At 40.2% G+C, this 17,300-nt stretch overlaps 1 protein-coding gene across 4 annotated transcripts in view; it reads right to left on the bottom strand.

The window, feature by feature from the left end:
- The window catches only part of ARMCX5-GPRASP2 (ARMCX5-GPRASP2 readthrough), a 308,717-nt gene that overhangs the window by 230,365 nt on the left and 61,052 nt on the right, over positions 1-17,300 (bottom strand). The gene's annotated exons all lie outside the window — the stretch shown is intronic.

Genomic DNA, 17,300 nt, shown 5'->3' with positions numbered 1-17,300 from the left:
ATAAATAAATAAATAAATAAATAAATAAATAAATAAATAGGCCACTAGCTAGACTAATAAAGAAGAAAAGACAGAATAATCAAATAGACACAATAAAAAATGATAGAGGATATCACCAATGACCCCACAGAAATACAAAAAACTACCAGAGAATACTATAAACACCGCTATGCAAATGAACTAGAAAATCTAGAAGAAATGGATAAATTCCTGGACACATAGACCCTCAAGACTGAACCAGGAAGAAGTTGAATCCCTGAATAGACCAATAACAAGTTCTGAAATTGAGGCAGGAATAAATAGCCTACTAACCAAAAAAAGCCCAGGACCAGACAAATTTACAACTGAATTCACCCAGAGGTACAAAGAGGAGCTGGGACCACTTCTTCTGAAACTATTCCAAACAACTGAAAAGAAGGGACTCCTCCCTAACCCACTTTATGAGGCCAGCATCATCCTGATACCCAAAACCTGGCAGAGATACAACAAAAACAAAAAAACTTCAAGCCAATATCCCTTATGAACATCAATGCAAAAATCCTCAGTAAAATACTGGCAAACAGAATCTAGTAGCATATTGAAAAGCTTATCCACCACGATCAAGTTGGCTTCATCTCTGGGATTCAAGTCTGGTTCAGCATATGAAATCAAATTAACGTATTTTATCACATAAACAGAACCAATGACAAAAACCACAAGATTATCTCAACAGATGCAGAAAAGGCCTCCGATAAAATTCAACATCTCTTCGAGTTAAAAACTCTCAACAAACTAGGTATTGAAGGAACATACCTCAAAATAATAAGAGCCATTTATGGCCAGGGGTGGTTGCTCATGACTGTAATCCCAGCACATTGGGAGGCTGAGGCGGGCAGATCACCTGAGGTCAGGAGTTCGAAACCAGCCTGGCCAACATGGCGAAATTCCATCCCTACTAAAAATACAAAAATTGGCCTGGCATGGTGGCAGGTGCCTGTAGTCCCAGCTACTCGGGAGGCTGAGGCATGAGAATCACTTGAACCCAGGAGGCAGAGGTTGCAGTGAGCCGAGATTGTGCCACTGCACTCCAGCCTGGGTGACAGAGCAAGACTCCATCTCAAAAAAAGAAAGAAAAAGAAAAGAAAGAAGAGCCATTTATGACAAACTCATAGCCAATATCATACTGAATGGGCAAAAGCTGGGAGCATTTCCCTTGAAAACCAGCACAAGATAAAAACACACTCTCTCTCCCCTTCTATTTTTTTTTTTTTTTTTTTGAGACGGAGTCTCGCTCTGTCACCCAGGCTGGAGTGCAGTAGTGCGATCTCGGCTCACTGCAACTTCCGCCTCCCGGGTTCACGCCATTTTCCTGCCTCAGCCTCCCGAGTAGCTGGGACTACAGGCACCTGCCACCGCACCTGGCTAATTTTTTGTATTTTAGTAGAGATGGGGTTTTACCATGTTAGACAGGATGGTCTCGATCTCCTGACCTCGTAATCTGCCTGCCTCGGCCTCCCAAAGTGCTGGGAGTACAGGCATGAGCCACCGTGCCTGGCCTCTCCCCTTCTATTTAACATAGTATTAGAAGTTCTGGCCAGGGTAATTGGTCAAGAGAAAAAAATAAAGGGTATTCAAATAGGAGGAGAGGAAGTCAAATTGTCTCTTTTTGCAGATGACATGATCCTATATCTAGAAAACCCCATCACCTCAGCCCAAGATCTTCTTAAGCTGATAAGCAACTTCAGCAAAGTCAGGATACAAAATCAATGTGCAAAAATCACAAGCATTACTATACACCAACAACAGACAAGCAGAAAGCCAAATCATGAAAAAACTCCCATTCACAATGGCTACAAAGAGAATAAAATACCTAGGAATACAGCTAACAAGGGAAATGAAGGACCTCTTCAAGGAGAACTAGAAACCACTGCTCAAAAAAGTCAGAGAGGACACAAATAAATAGAAAAACATTCCATGCTCATGGATAGGAAGAATTAATATCGTGAAAATGGCCACACTGCCCAAAGCAATTTATAGATTCAATGCTATTCCTATTAAACTACCATTGATATTCTTCACAGAATTAGAAAAAACTACATTAGAATTCATATGGAACCAAAAAGAGCCAGTATAGCCAAGACAATCCTAAGCAAAAAGAAAAAAGTTGGAGGCATCACACTACTTCAAACTATACTACAAGGCTACATAGACTACAGACTCATAGACCAATGGAACAGAATAGAGATCTCAGAAATCAGACTGCACATCTACAACCATCTGATTTTCAACAAATCTGACAAAAGCAACAGGGAAAGGATTGCTTATTTAATAAATGGTGCTGTAAAAACTGTCTAGTCATATGCAGAAAACTGTAATTAGACCCCTTCCTTACATCATATACAAAAATTAACTCAAGATGGATTAAACACTTAAATGTAAAACCCCAAACCATAAAAACCCAGAAGAAAATCTGGGCAATACCACTCAAAATGTAGGGACGGGCAAAGATTTCACAACAAAAATGTCAAAAGCAATTGCAACAAAAGCAAAAATTGACAAATGGGATCTAATTAAACTAAAGAGCTTCTGCACAGCAAAAGAAACTATAATCAGAGTGAACAGACAACGTACAGGTTGGGAGAAAATTTTTGAAATCTATTCATCTGAAAAAAGTCTAATATTCAGAATCTACAAGGAACTTAAACAAATTTAGCAAAAAACCCCAAACAACCCCATTAAAAAGTGGGCAAAGGACATGAACACACACTTCTCAAAAGAAGACATTTATACAGCCAACAACCATGAAAAAAAGCTCCACATCACTGATCATTACAGAAATGCAAATCAAAACTACATTAAGATACCATCTCACACCAATCAGAATGGCAATTATTAAAGAGTCAAGAAACAACAGATGCTGATGAGGCTGTGGAGAAACAGGAACACTTTTACACTGTTGGTGGGAATGCAAATTAGTTCAACCATTGTGAAAGACAGTGTGGCAATTCCTCAAAGACCTAGAACCAGAAATACCATTTGACTCAGCAATCCCATTACTGGGTATATACCCAAAGGAATATAAATCATTCTATTATAAAGATACATGCACATGTATGTTCATTGCAGCACTATCCACAATAGCAAAGATGTGGAATCAACCCAAATGCCCATCAATGATAGATTGGATAAAGAAAATGTGGTACCATATATACCATAGAATACTATGCAGCCATAAAAAGGAATGAGATCATGTCCTTTCAGGGACATGGATGGAGCTGGAAGTCATTATCTTCAGCAAACTAATGCAGGAAAAGAAAACCCAACACTGCATGTTCTCACTTATTAGTGGGAGCTGAACAATGAGAACACATGGACAGAGGGAAGGGAACAACATACACTGGAGCCTGTCGGGGGAGGAAGGGGGAGGGCAGGGGAGGCAAGAGCATTAGGGAGAAGAGCTATTGCATGCCAGGTTTAATAACTAGGTGATGAGTTGATAGGTGCAGCAAACCACCATGGCACACATTTACCTATATAAAAAACCTTCACATTCTGTACATGTATCCTGGAACTTAAAATTAAATTAAAAAATTTACTTCTCAATCAAAATTAATTACTTGGTCTTGTGATTTTAATTTTATTTTTCTCTAGGTCTGTATAAAGTGAGTGAATCCACTAAATGCTAGTATTCTAGTTCCTATGCTGTTACTATTTCTCCTTATAATTTAATAAACTGATATTTTGAATCCTGTAAATCTTGTGAACTTGCTAAACATGAGCTTTTCCCACACAGATGGATCTATTTTTCTGTTATGAGGTTATTGAGCTTCTGAGCTGGTATGGTCTAGGGCCAGATATTGTGTACTTCTTTTAATGCCATCAAGGTACTAAGTGTTATTATGGATGGCTTCTTGAGGACATCCAGTAGACCTGGCAACACAGAGACACATCCTTTGGCCTGATCAACAGCCTTTTCCATTTTGAAACTCCAAGAAAGTTTCAAGGGAGTTATAGAAGAATATTAGTGTCCCTCACCACTAATCAATCTAATTGATGGAATATGAAAATAAAATTAATTGGAGATGAAATTAACTAGAGAGCCCAACTATGTATGTGAGTTATGTATATAACATCTCAGATAAGACACAATGCTTATTATAAACTGCAGTAAGTGAACTGGTATGTTTCTAACACCAGAGAACAGTTACCTCAGAAACACATGTGAAAATGACATCATCAATTTCAAAAGAGACATGAGAAATTGTTGGAGTAGGGGCGTATTATTGAATAAATGATACTGGTATTATGTAGAAAAAAATCCATTTCTATTTTCCTCTTCCATTTTTCATTTACCAGCCAAAATTCATTCTAGGTAAATGAGTATTTATTTCTCCTTCCACTCCATTTAAAACACTCATTAAGACATTTAATCTTCCTGGGATTTGTTCATGTGTATTGGAATTTAACTTGTTTTCCCAAATAACTAGCTAATTATTCCAACACCGTTCACTAAATATGCAAAAAAAAAAAAAAAAAAACGTTAACATAGCAGGCCTGAGATTGCTCTCCTTAGAAACTCCTGCTTGCCAGGACGGCCCTGGAGTCTGGGAACTTGGACTAAGGGAGAATTCCCACCATTCCTAGAGCTGATAAGAATGGCTCACTGTACATAAACTTTTTGTGCAAACAATGTGGTTCATGCAAAATACTTTCTTTCCTTCTTGGATTCTGGAATTTTGGCCTGTGCTAGGCAAAGGGCAGATACATGAAAAGCCCCCAGTAAAAATCTTGGGCATTGAGTCTCTAATGTTGTCTTTGGTAGACAAAACATTTCACACATGTTGTCACAATTAATTGTTGGAGGAATTAAGCATATCCTGTGTGACCACACACAGCAAGAGGACTCTTGGAAGCTTGAGCCTATTTTCTTCTAGATTTTGCTCCATGCTTTTTCCCCCTTTGCTGGTTTGGTTTTGTATCCTTTCACTGTAATAAATCACAGCTGTGAGTACAACTATATGCCAAGTCCTGTGTGTCCTGCTAGCAAATCATTGAACATGTGGATGGTCTTGAGGACCCACAGCAGACTGAATATTTCACTTTTTTCCATGAATCTGAACTGTCGTCTTAGTATAAATGCCTATATATGGGCTCTCTGTGTCCCATTTATCTTTTCCTGAGTCAGTTCTACTGTTTTAATAACCATAGGTTGATAAAAAAAATTTTAGATTCCTGCCCAACCTCCAAATTACTTTCCTTTCAAAATTGCTGGACTGTTCATAGGTTTGTGTGTGCACAGAAATTTATAAGGATTTCTTGAACCTCTGAAAACCTCTAAACCAAGGACCTCTAAAGGCAAATGGGGAAAACCTAAAAATATCCACTCACAAGAAAGAAAATACAACTAGGTAATAAACATCTGAAAATATGTTTAACCTCTTTACTAATATCAAAACAACAGTGCAATACTACATTATCCAATTCCATTAGTAAATGACTTAAAAATTAAAAATATATGCCGCTAAGGTCATAAACACATTAAAAACAGTATGTTCTAAGCTTACCATCTCTTTCTAAGACAAACTTTCTAGTGTACAGTCCCATCTCAAAGGAAGTATTTACTTGATTCTGAAGCAAGGTGTTTCCACTAACCTGAACCAGCATTGAATACCTGGGCCAAGGATAAACAAAGATACACAGAGAAGGAAGGATCAGGAATGTTAATGGCAGAATATGAAGATTATCTGAATGGCTGTCCAATCAAACAGTACAAGTTAACCGCTGGAGTGAAGGTATAAACACATTAGATTAGGAAGTGGGCTCAAAAGAAGGTGAAAGTTCATGGAGTTGGTGAGAGGGATCAGGAGTGTCACCATGTAGGGGGTGGATGGCCTTGTAGAAAATATTTGAAGGATCGACAGGCTTTTGACAGACATTATAGCGGGGGAGGGATAACTGGAGGGAAGGGACAAAGTAAGAAAGGTAGCTTCTCATTTGGGTATATACCCAGTAATGGGATGGCTGGGTCAAATGGTATTTCCAGTTCTAGATCCCTGAGGAATCGCCACACTGACTTCCACAATGGTTGAACTAGTTTACAGTCCCACCAACAGTGTAAAAGTGTTCCTATTTCTCCACATCCTCTCCAGCACCTGTTGTTTCCTGACTTTTTAATGATTGCCATTCTAACTGGTGTGAGATGGTATCTCATAGTGGTTTTGATTTGCATTTCTCTGATGGCCAGTGATGATGAGCATTTTTTCATGTATTTTTTGGCTGCATAAATGTCTTCTTTTGAGAAGTGTCTGTTCATGTCCTTCGCCCACTTTTTGATGGGGTTGTTTGTTTTTTTCTTGTAAATCATGCTGCTATAAAGACACATGCACACGTATGTTTATTGCGGCATTATTCACAATAGCAAAGACTTGGAACCAACCCAAATGTCCAACAATGATAGACTGGATTAAGAAAATGTGGCACATATACACCATGGAATACTATGCAGCCATAAAAAATGATGAGTTCATGTCCTTTGTAGGGACATGGATGAAATTGGAAACCATCATTCTCAGTAAACTATCGCAAGAACAAAAAACCAAACACCGCATATTCTCACTCATAGGTGGGAATTGAACAATGAGATCACATGGTCACAGGAAGGGGAATATCACACTCTGGGGACTGTGGTGGGGTGGGGGGAGGGGGGAGGGGTAGCATTGGGAGATATACCTAATGCTAGATGACGAGTTAGTGGGTGCAGCGCACCAACATGGCACATGTATACATATGTAACTAACCTGCACAATGTGCACATGTACCCTAAAACTTAAAGTATAATAAAAAAAAAAAAAAAGTTAGATTAAAAAAAAAAAAAAAGAAAGGTAGCTTCTCCAGGTACAACAAACTGTGTGAATAAGCTGCGGTGCAGATAATGAGTATGAAAAGCTTATTTTAATCTGTAAAGAGTATATGATATATGTGCCACCCTAAAAGGCATTGGGTACAAATGTTTCAGAGATAAGTTTTAAGGTGTCTTTAAGGTACAGACGATCTCTATCTTATATAAACAGTTCCTGAGACTAGAAAAAGAACAAAAGCTATCCAAACTGATTTAATGAGTTCAACATAACAAAACAATAATGAGAAAATTATTGTTCAATCATAAACAATAATGAAAAATTGTCAAGGTGAACCCTGCAGTATATTAATAAACAATAATAATAACAAAAATACTGTGATAGAACTTCAATGAGATAGGCATATCCACAATTGTAAATAGGGATATGCATACTTACAGTCAAAGATTTCAGCAACACTCTTTCAATAACAAAAAACAGAGACAAAATAAGTAAAGCTGTACAATAGAAGACATAAAATTATGAACTGGAGAAGGGCCCAAGATGGCTGAGTATAAACAGCTCTGGTCAGCAGCTCCCACTGAGACGAATGCAAAAGGCAAGTGATTTCTGCATTTCCAACTGAGGTACACAGATTTTCTCTGGGTCATTGGGACTGACTAGGTGGATGGCATCATCCATGGAGAACAAAGAAATGCAGGGTGGGGTGACAGTTCACCTGGGAGCTGCATGGTGCAAAGGGACCTCCCTCCCTCAGCCAAGGGAGGTGGTGAGGGACTGTGCTACCTGCTCAGGGTTCTACACTTTTCCCACGGATTTCTGCAATCTGCAGATCAGAAGATTCCTTTGTGTGCTTATACCACCAGGGCCTTGGGTCCCAAACACAAAACTGGGCAGACCTACGGCAGCTGCACCAGTCAGTAGCAGTTGGGGCAGGCACTGAGCTGCAGGAGTTTTTACATACTCTGGTGGCTCCCAGAACTCCAGGGTGGCAGAAGAGCCGTCCACTCCCATGGAAAGGGGGCTGAAGTCAGAGAGCCAAGTAGCCTTGCTCAGTAGGTCCCACAACCACAGAATCCCACAAGCTAAGACCCACTGGCTTGGAATCCCTGCTGGACAGCACAACAGCCTGGAGTCTGCGGAAGATGACCAAGTTCCTGGGGGGAGGGGCGACCACCATTACTGTGGCTCTAGTTGGCAGTTTTCCACTGCCAGTGCTAGAGAAGCTGGGAGGTTTGGACTGGGTGATATTCCCCCACAGCACAGCACAGCGGCTGTAGAAGATCTTGGCCAGACTGCTTCTTTAGGTGGCACCTGGATCCATCCCTCCTCATTGGGCAAGGCCTACCTGCAGGAATTCCTGCAACTCTAGCCAGGGGCTTACAGACAGAACTCTCATCTCCCTGGGAAAGAGCACCTTCAGAGAGGGGTGGCCATGGTCTCAGGTTCAGCAGACTTACTCTTTCCTGCCTGCTGACAAGGGGGAGTCCCCAAGCACAGCACGCCAGCTCCACTAAGCGGAAGCCAGACAGCTTCCTCCTGATCCCATGCCTCCTGACTGGGTGAGACCTCCCAACAGGGGTAGCCAGACACCTCATACAGGAGAGTTCTGGCTGGCATCAGGTCGGTATCCCTCTGGGACAAAGCTTCCAGAGGAAGGAACAGGCAGCAATCTTTGCTGTTCTGCAGGCTCCACTGGTGATACCCAGGTGAACAACGTCTGGAGTGGACCCCCAGCAAACTGCAGCAGACCTGCAGAAGAGGGACCTGATTGCTGGAAGAAAAACAAACAAACAGAAGGCAACAACAACAAAAACATCAACAAAAAAAGACCACACAAAAACCCCATACAAAGGTCAACAGCCTCAAAGAGCAAAGGTAGATAAATCCATGAAGATGAAGAAGAACCAAGGCAAACTGCTGAAAATTCCAAAAGGCAGAATGCCTCTTCTCCTCCAAATGATTGCAACACCTCTCCAGCAAGTGCACAGAACTGGGCTGAGGCTGAGATGGATGAACTGACAGCAGTAGGCTTCAGAATGTGGGTAATAACAAACTTCATTGAGCTAAAGGATTATGTTATAACCCAATACAAAGAAGCTAAGAATCATGATAAAAGGTTACAGGAGCTGTTAACTAGAATAACCAGTTTACAGAGAAACATAAATGACCTAATGAAGCTGAGAAACACAGCATTAGAACTTCAAGCAACACACAAGCATCAATAGCCAAATTGAGCAAGTGGAAGAAAGAGTATCAGAGCTTGAAGACTATCTTGCTGAAATAAGGCAGACAGACAAGATTAGAGAAAAAAGCAAGAAAAGAAATGAACAAAACCTCCGAGAACTATGGGACTATGTAAAAAGACCAAACCTATGACTGATTGGAGTACCTGAAAGAGACAGAGAGAATAGAACCAAGTTGGAAAACATACTTCAGAATAACAACCAGGAGAACTTCCCCAACTTAGCAAGACAGGCCAACATTCAAATTCAGAAAATCCAGAGAACCCCAATAAGATACTCCATAAGAAGATCAACCCCAAGACACATAGTCATCAGATTCTCCGAGGTCAAAATGACAGAAAAAATGATAAGGGCAGCCAGAGAGAAAGACCAGGCCACCTACAAAGGGAAGCTCATCAGACTAACAGCAGATCTCAGTGGAAAACCTACAAGCCAGAATACATTGGGGGCCAATAGTCAACATTCTTAAAGAAAAAAATTTTCCAACCCAGAATTTTATATCCGGTCAAATTAAGCTACATAAGCGAAGGAAAATAAAGTCCTCTTCAGACAAGCAAATGCTGAGGGATTTTCTCACCACCAGGCCTGCCTTGAAAGAGCTCCTAAAGGAATCACTAAACATGGAAAGGAAAAACCATTACCAGCCACTACAGAAACACACTGAAGTACCAACGACACTATGAAGCAACTACAGTAACAAGTCTGCAAAATTAATCAACCAGCATCATGATAACAGGACCAAATTCACACATAACAATATTACCCTTAAACGTAAATGGGGTAAATGCCCCAATTAAAAGACATAGAATGGCAAGCTGGATAAAAAGAGAAGATGCATCAGTATGCTGTATTCAAGAGAAACATATCATGTGCAAAGACACACAGGCTTGAAATAAAGGGATGGAGGAAATTATACCAAGCAAATGGAAAGCAGTAAAAAGCAGGGGTGGGAATCCTAGTTTCTGACAAAATAGACTTTAAACCAACAAAGGTCAACAATGACAAAGAAGGGCATTACATAATATTAAACGGTTCAATTCAACAAGAAGAGCTAGCTATCCTAAATATATATGAGCCCAATACAGGAGCACCCAGATTCATAAAACAAGTTCTTAAAGACCCACAAAGAGACTCAGACCCCCACAAAATAACAGTGGGAGACTTTAATTCCCTGCTGTCAGTATAAGACAGATCATTGAGACAGAAAATTAGCAAAGATATTCAGGACTTGAACTCAGTTCTGGACCGAATGGACCTGATAGGTATCTACAGAACTCTCCACCCAAAAACAACAGAAAATACATTTTTCTCAGCAGCACATGGCACTCACTCTAAAGTTGATCACATGACTGGAAGTAAAGCACTCCTCAGCAAATGCAAAACAACTGAAATCATAACAGTCTCTCAGACCACAGAGCACTCAAGATTAAGAGTTGAGTGAATTGAAACCCACTCAAAACCACACAACTACATGGAAACTGAACAACCTGCTCCTGAAAGACTCCTGGGTAAATAATGAAATTAAGGCAGAAATCAAGAAGTTTTTTGAAACTAATGAGAACAAAGGGACAATGTACCAGAATCTGAGATGCAGCTAAAGCAGTGTTAAGAGGAAAATGTATAACACTGAATGCCCACATCGAAAAGCTAGAAAGATTTCAAATCGACACCCTAACATCACAACAAAAAGGCTAGAGAATAAAGAGCCAACAAACCCCAGAGCTAGCAGAAGACAAGAAATAACCAAGATGAGAGCAAAACTGAAGGAGATAGAGACATGAAAATCCCTTAAAAAATTCAATGAATCTAGGCACGGTGGCTCGCACCTGTAATCCCAGCACTTTGGGAGGCTGAGGCGGGCGGATCACGAGGTCAGGAGATTGAGACCATCCTGGCTAACACAGTGAAACCCCATCTCTACTAAAAATACAAAAAAAATTAGCCGGGCGTGGTGGCGGGCGCCTGTAGTCCCAGCTACTCAGGAGGCTGAGGCAGAATGGCGTGAACCCGGGAGGCGGAGCTTGCAGTGAGCTGAGAATGCACCACTGCACAATGAATCCAGGAGCTGGTTTTTTATTTATAAAAAAAAGTCAGTAAAATAGACCACTAGCTAGACTAACAAAGAGGAAAAGACAGAAGATTCAAATAAACACAATCAGAAATGATAAGGGGGATACCACCACTGACCCCACAGAAATACAAAAAAAAACCCCACCGGAGAATACTATAAACACCTCTATGCAAATAAACTAGAAAATCTAGAAGAAATGGATAAATTCCTGGAGATATACAGCCTTCCAAGACTGAACCAGCAAGAAGTTGAATCCCTGAGCAGACCAATAACAAGTTCTGAAATTGAGGTAGTAATAAACAGCCCACCAACGAAAAAAAATCTCAGGACCAGATGGATTTACAGCTGAATTCTACCAGAGTTACAAAGCGGAGCTGGTACTATTTCTTCTGAAACTATTCCAAACAACTGAAAAGGAGGGACTCCTCCCTAATTCATTTTATGAGGCCAGCATCCTCCCGATACCAAAACCTGGCAGAGATGCAACAAGAAAAGAAAACTTCGAGCCAATATCCCTGATGAACATACATGCAAAAATCCTCAGTAAAATACTAACAAACCGAATCCATATGCAAATCAATAAATGTAATTCATCACATAAACAGAACTAAAGAGAAAAAAACACGATTATCTCAATAGATGCGGAAAAGGCCTTCGATAAAATTCAACATCCCTTCATGTTAAAAACTCTCAACAAACTAGGTATTGAAGGAACATACCTCAAAATAATAAGAGCCATTTATGACAAACCCACAACCAATATCATACTGAATGGGCAAAAGCTGGAAGCATTTCTCTTGAAAACCAGAACAAGACAAGAATACCCTCTCTCACCACTTCTATTAGACATAGTATTAGAAGTTCTGGCCAGGGCAATCAGGCAAGAGAAAGTAATAAAGCATATTCGAATACGAAGAGAGGAAGTCAAATTGTCCTTGTATACAGATAACATGATCCTATACCTAGAAAACCCTATCAATAGAGCCCAAAATCTTCTTAAGCTGATAAGCACCTTCAGCAAAGTCTCAGGATAAAAAATCAATGTGCAGAAATCACAAACATTCATATATACAAACAGCAAACAAGCAGAGAGCCAAATCATGAATGAACTCCCATTTTCAATTGCCACAAAGAGAAGAAAATACCTAGGAATAAAGCTAACAAGGGAAGTGAAGGACCGCTTCGAGGAGAACTACAAACTACTGCTCAAGGAAATCAGAGAGGAAATGAGCAGATGGAAAAACATTCTATACTCATGGATAGGAAGAATCAATATTGTGAAAATGGCCATACTGCCCAAAGTGATTTATAGATTCAGTGCTATTCCCATTAAACTACCATTGGCATTCTTCACAGAATTAGAAGAAACAATTTTAAAATTCACATGGAAGCAAAAAAGAGCTCGTGTAGCCGGGAAAGTCCTAAGTAAAAAGAACAATGCTAGAGGCATCACGCTACCTGACTTCAAACTATACTATAAGGCTACAGTACTACAGTAACCAAAACAGCATGGTACTGGCACAAAAACAGGCACATAGACCAATGGAACAGAATACAGAACTCAGAAATAAAACTGCACATCTACAACCATCTGATCTTTGACAAACCTGACAAAAACAAGCAATGAGGAAAGGATTCCCTATTTAACAAATGGTGCTGGCAGAACTGGCTAGCCATATGCCAAAAATTGAAAATGGACCCCTTCCTTACACCATATACAAAAATTAACTCAAAATGGATTAAAGACTTAAATGTAAAACCCAAAACTATAAAAACTGTAGAAGAAAATCTGGGCAATACCATTCAGGATGTAGGGATGGGCAAAGATTTCATGACAAAAATGTCAAAAGCAACTGCAACAAAAGCAAAAATTGACAAATGGGATCTAATAAAACTAAAGAGCTTCTGCACAGCAAAATAAACCATCATCAGAATGAACAGACAACCTACAGAATGGGAGAAGACTTTTACAGTCTGTCCATCTGACAAAGGTCTAATATCCAGAATCTACAAGAAACTTAAATTTACAAGAAAAAACTAAACAACCCCATTAAAAAGTGGGCAAAAGAAATGAACAATTTTCAAAAGAAGACATAAATGCGGCCAAAAACACATATGAAAAAAAAGCTCAACATCACTGATCATTAGAGAAATGCAATCAAAATCACAATGAGATACCATCTCATACCAGTCAAACTGGCGATTATTAATAAGTCAAGAAACAACAGATCCTGGTGAGGTTGCAGAAGAATAGGGATGCTTTTACACTGTTGTTGGGAATGTAAATTAGTTCAAGCATTGTGGAAGACAGTGAGGCGATTCCCCAAAGACCTAGAATCAGAAATACCATTTGACCCAACAATCCCATTATTGGGTATATACCCAAAGGAATATAAATCATTCTATTATAAAGATGCATGCACATGTATGCTCACTGCAGCAATATTCACAATAGCAAAGATGTGGAATCAACCCAAATGCCCATCAGTGATGGACTGGATAAAGAAAATGTGGTACATGTACACCACGGAATACTATGCAGCCATAAAAAAGGAATGAGATCATGTCCTTTGCAGTGACATGGATGAAGCAGGAAGCCATTATCCTCAGCAAACTAATGCAGAGACAGAAAACCCAACACTGCAGGTTCTCACTTATAAGTGGAAGCTGAACAATGAGAACACATCGACACAGAGACGGGAACAACACACGCTGGGGCCTGTGGGGGGAGGGCAGCAAGCAGGGAGAGCATTAGGAAAATGAGTTAATGCATGCCAGGCTTAATAGCTAGAGGTGATGGGTTGATAGATGCAGCAAACCACCATGGCACACATTTACCTATGTAATTTACCTAGGTGATGGGTTGATAGATGCAGCAAACCACCATGGCACACATCTACCTGCACATCCTGCACATGTACCCTGGAACTTAGAAAATAAAATAAAATAAAATAAAATAAAATAAAATAAAATAAAATAATTCTGAACCAACTGGGCCTTATTGACATTTATAGAACAATTCACACAATAACAGAAGAATACACATTCTCTTCAAGTACACATAGAATATTTATCAAGGCAGACCATATTCTGGACCATAAATGAAGTCTCAGTAAATTAAAAGGATTCAAGTTACACGAAGTATGTTCTCTGGCTACAACGTAATTAAATTAGAAATCAATAACTGGAAAAGTCCCCAAATACTTGAGAACTACACAGCATACATCTAAATAACTAACTCTTGCATCAAAGAACAAACTCAAAGAGAAATCAGTAAGTAATTTCAAACTGAAGAAAAATGAAAACACAACACATCAAAAATTGTGAGATATAGTTAAAGTAGTATTAGAGGGGAATTTGCAGTACTAAAATCCCTATATTAGAAAAGAAGAAAGGTCTCAAATCAATGGCCTCAGTTTCTAGTTTAAGTGACCAGAAAAAGTAGAGTAACTTAAACACCAAGTAAACAAAAAAAATAATATATATGAAGGGAAAAACCAAGGAAATAGAAAACAGTAAAACAATAAAGAAAATCAATAAGACTAAACGCTAGTTCATTGAGATGGTCAATAAAATTGATAACCCTCTAGGCAGAAAAATTTTTAAAAAGAGAGAGAAGGAGAAGACACAATTAGTAACATCAGGAATGAGAGAGGTTAAATCATCAGATACTCTACAAACGTCAAAAGAATAATAAGAAACTGATTAACAAGGATGTAGTAAAACAGATACTCACATATATTGCTGGTGGCAGTAAATACTTATAGTACCCCTTTCCAGGGAAATTTGAGAATACCTAATAAAACTACGCACATGCACTTATTATTTGACCTACCAGCACCAGATCTAGGAATCTGTGAAGATACACGTCCAAACATACAAAAATACTGTATATTTTCACAAGGTTATTCCTTCCAGTATTATTTGTACCAGCTTAATATTAGAAACAAATGTCCACTCATAGGAAAGTGAGTAAATAAATTATGGTAGTGACACAATAAAGTACTATGCAGCTGTAAAAAATAATGTGGAAGACATTTATGAGTTGGCTTCAAATCTGTAAAATGCAACAAATATAGAGGTTAATAGGACCAATATAATTTATTTTTTCTAATATATTATCCTAAAAGAATTTGGTATCATGTGGCTATCTCATAGACCTGAGCTATGACCAAAGGCTTCAACACCAACTAGGAGATGTCACCAAGAATAGGTGCAAATCACCAAGTCTAAAGCATTGGCTATAAAACTGAAACAAGGAAGACAGCAAAGGGTCTACAGAGGGGAATCTGTAAGACAGTCTCTGTAGGTGGTTCTCAGAAAGACCCTCTTCTGAGGCCCTGGACTTTAGGAGGAGGGGGCATCAGATGGAGCAGCAACCCTTGTCATTAGATGAAAACGAACTGTTGAGAGCACAGTTTGAGACTGGGTCCTTTCAGGACCTCATATCCAGGGCAGATCCTCAGGATGCTGCTGCCTGAGGCTGAGATCCAGAAATCTACTTGGGGGTTGAGAAACATAGAGTATCGCAATGAAAATTCCTATGTGAAGAACCCAAAGCATTTAGGTTCCCTCCTCTTGAGTCTCTGTTTCCTCCTTTCTTCCCTAGAGCTGAAAATTGAGGTTCATTCCTCCCTTGGATTCCCAGCCAGCTAGAGCCTTGGAGCAAAAGGTGGATGTCCATGTTCCCCCTCCCCCACTAAGACATGATTAGAGGGTTGGAACTTTCAGCCTCACCCCTTGACCTCCAAGGAGAGGACAGGGGCTGGAGATTGAGCTAATCACCAATGGTCAATGATTTCATCAATCATATCTATGCAATGAAACCTCTACAAAAACCCTAACTGTCTGAGATTTTCCAGGTTGGTGAACTCATTCATATTCTGGGAAGGTGGTGTACCCCAAATCCACATGGATGGCAGCTTCTGCATTTGGGACCCTTCTGGACCTTGCCATATGTACCTCTTCATCTGGCTTTTAATTTATATTCTTTATAATGAACCAATAATAGGAAGTAGCATTTCCCTGAGTTCTGTGGGCCCTTATAGCAAATTATTGAACCTGAGGAGGGGGTTGTGAGAACTCCCAACTAGTAGCTAAGTCAGACAGAAGTGTGGGTGACATGGAGATCCATTACTTGTGACTGTTGTCTGAAGTGGGGGAGGGCAGTCTTATGGGAATGAGCCCTTAACCAGAGAAGTCTGCACTAACTCTGGGTAGTGTCAGAATTGAATTAAATTGTAGGATACCTAGCTGGTGTCCTCAAAGAATAAAAGAATTGCTTGGTGTGAAAAATCCACACATTCTATCCCAGAAGTATTGTGGGTAGAGGAACCATTTTCTTTCACTTGGTACCCAGTGGATGCATGGGGCAGGGGGAAAGGAGAATACTCAATGTGAAAGAGGAGAAGGACTTACCATGGGGCTGCTACCTGGAATGGGACCAAAGAAACACGTCCTAAGGAATGAGCAGAGATCACAACACAAGAGAGCAAAGGGTATGCAGAGGGGAACCTATGAGACTATCCATGAAGCAGTTTCTGTAGGTGGTCCCCAGACCCTCCTCTAAGGCCCAAGACAGCAGGGAGAGAGAGCATCACATGGAGCAGCAACCCACTTTGTGTCCCTCAATGGGAATGAGATCCTGCTGCATGGGGCTGAGATCCAGGAATCCCCTTGGGGGTCGAGAAGCTTGGAGTATCCTAATGAGAAATCCTAAGTGAAGGGCCCACAGCATCTAGGTTTCCTCCCCTCGAGTCTATGTCTCCTCCTTCTTTTCCTAGAACTGCCTGGATTGAGGTTCATTCCTCTCTTGCATCCCCAGCCAGCTGGAGCCTTGGAGCAAAAGGCAGATGTATGTGTTCTCTTCTGCCCTCCTCCACCCTCCGCCAGTTTTGAGCTGGTATCAGCCATCCCCACTGCCTGAATACTGCCAGTAAACAGACAGACAGAGAGCAGAGTGAGTGCCTACTTGGTGGGAGGAAGACAGCAGTAGCATAGTCCATGGTTCCCATCCCCACCCTTACCTTTCCTGATCCAGCACCACACGTGTTCACGAATTGTCACTTCACCATTTCCCCTCTCTGGGCTCCCCTGAAGCCAACTCCATCCATATGCCCACCTCTCCCACCCACACATAGAAACACA

The sequence above is a fragment of the Homo sapiens genome, chromosome X (assembly GCF_000001405.40).
Source record: "Homo sapiens chromosome X, GRCh38.p14 Primary Assembly".
In the NCBI taxonomy this organism is placed as follows: Eukaryota; Metazoa; Chordata; class Mammalia; order Primates; family Hominidae; genus Homo; species Homo sapiens.
The sequence above is the reverse complement of the archived record's forward strand: the minus strand, read 5'-3'. Positions and strand labels throughout refer to the sequence as shown.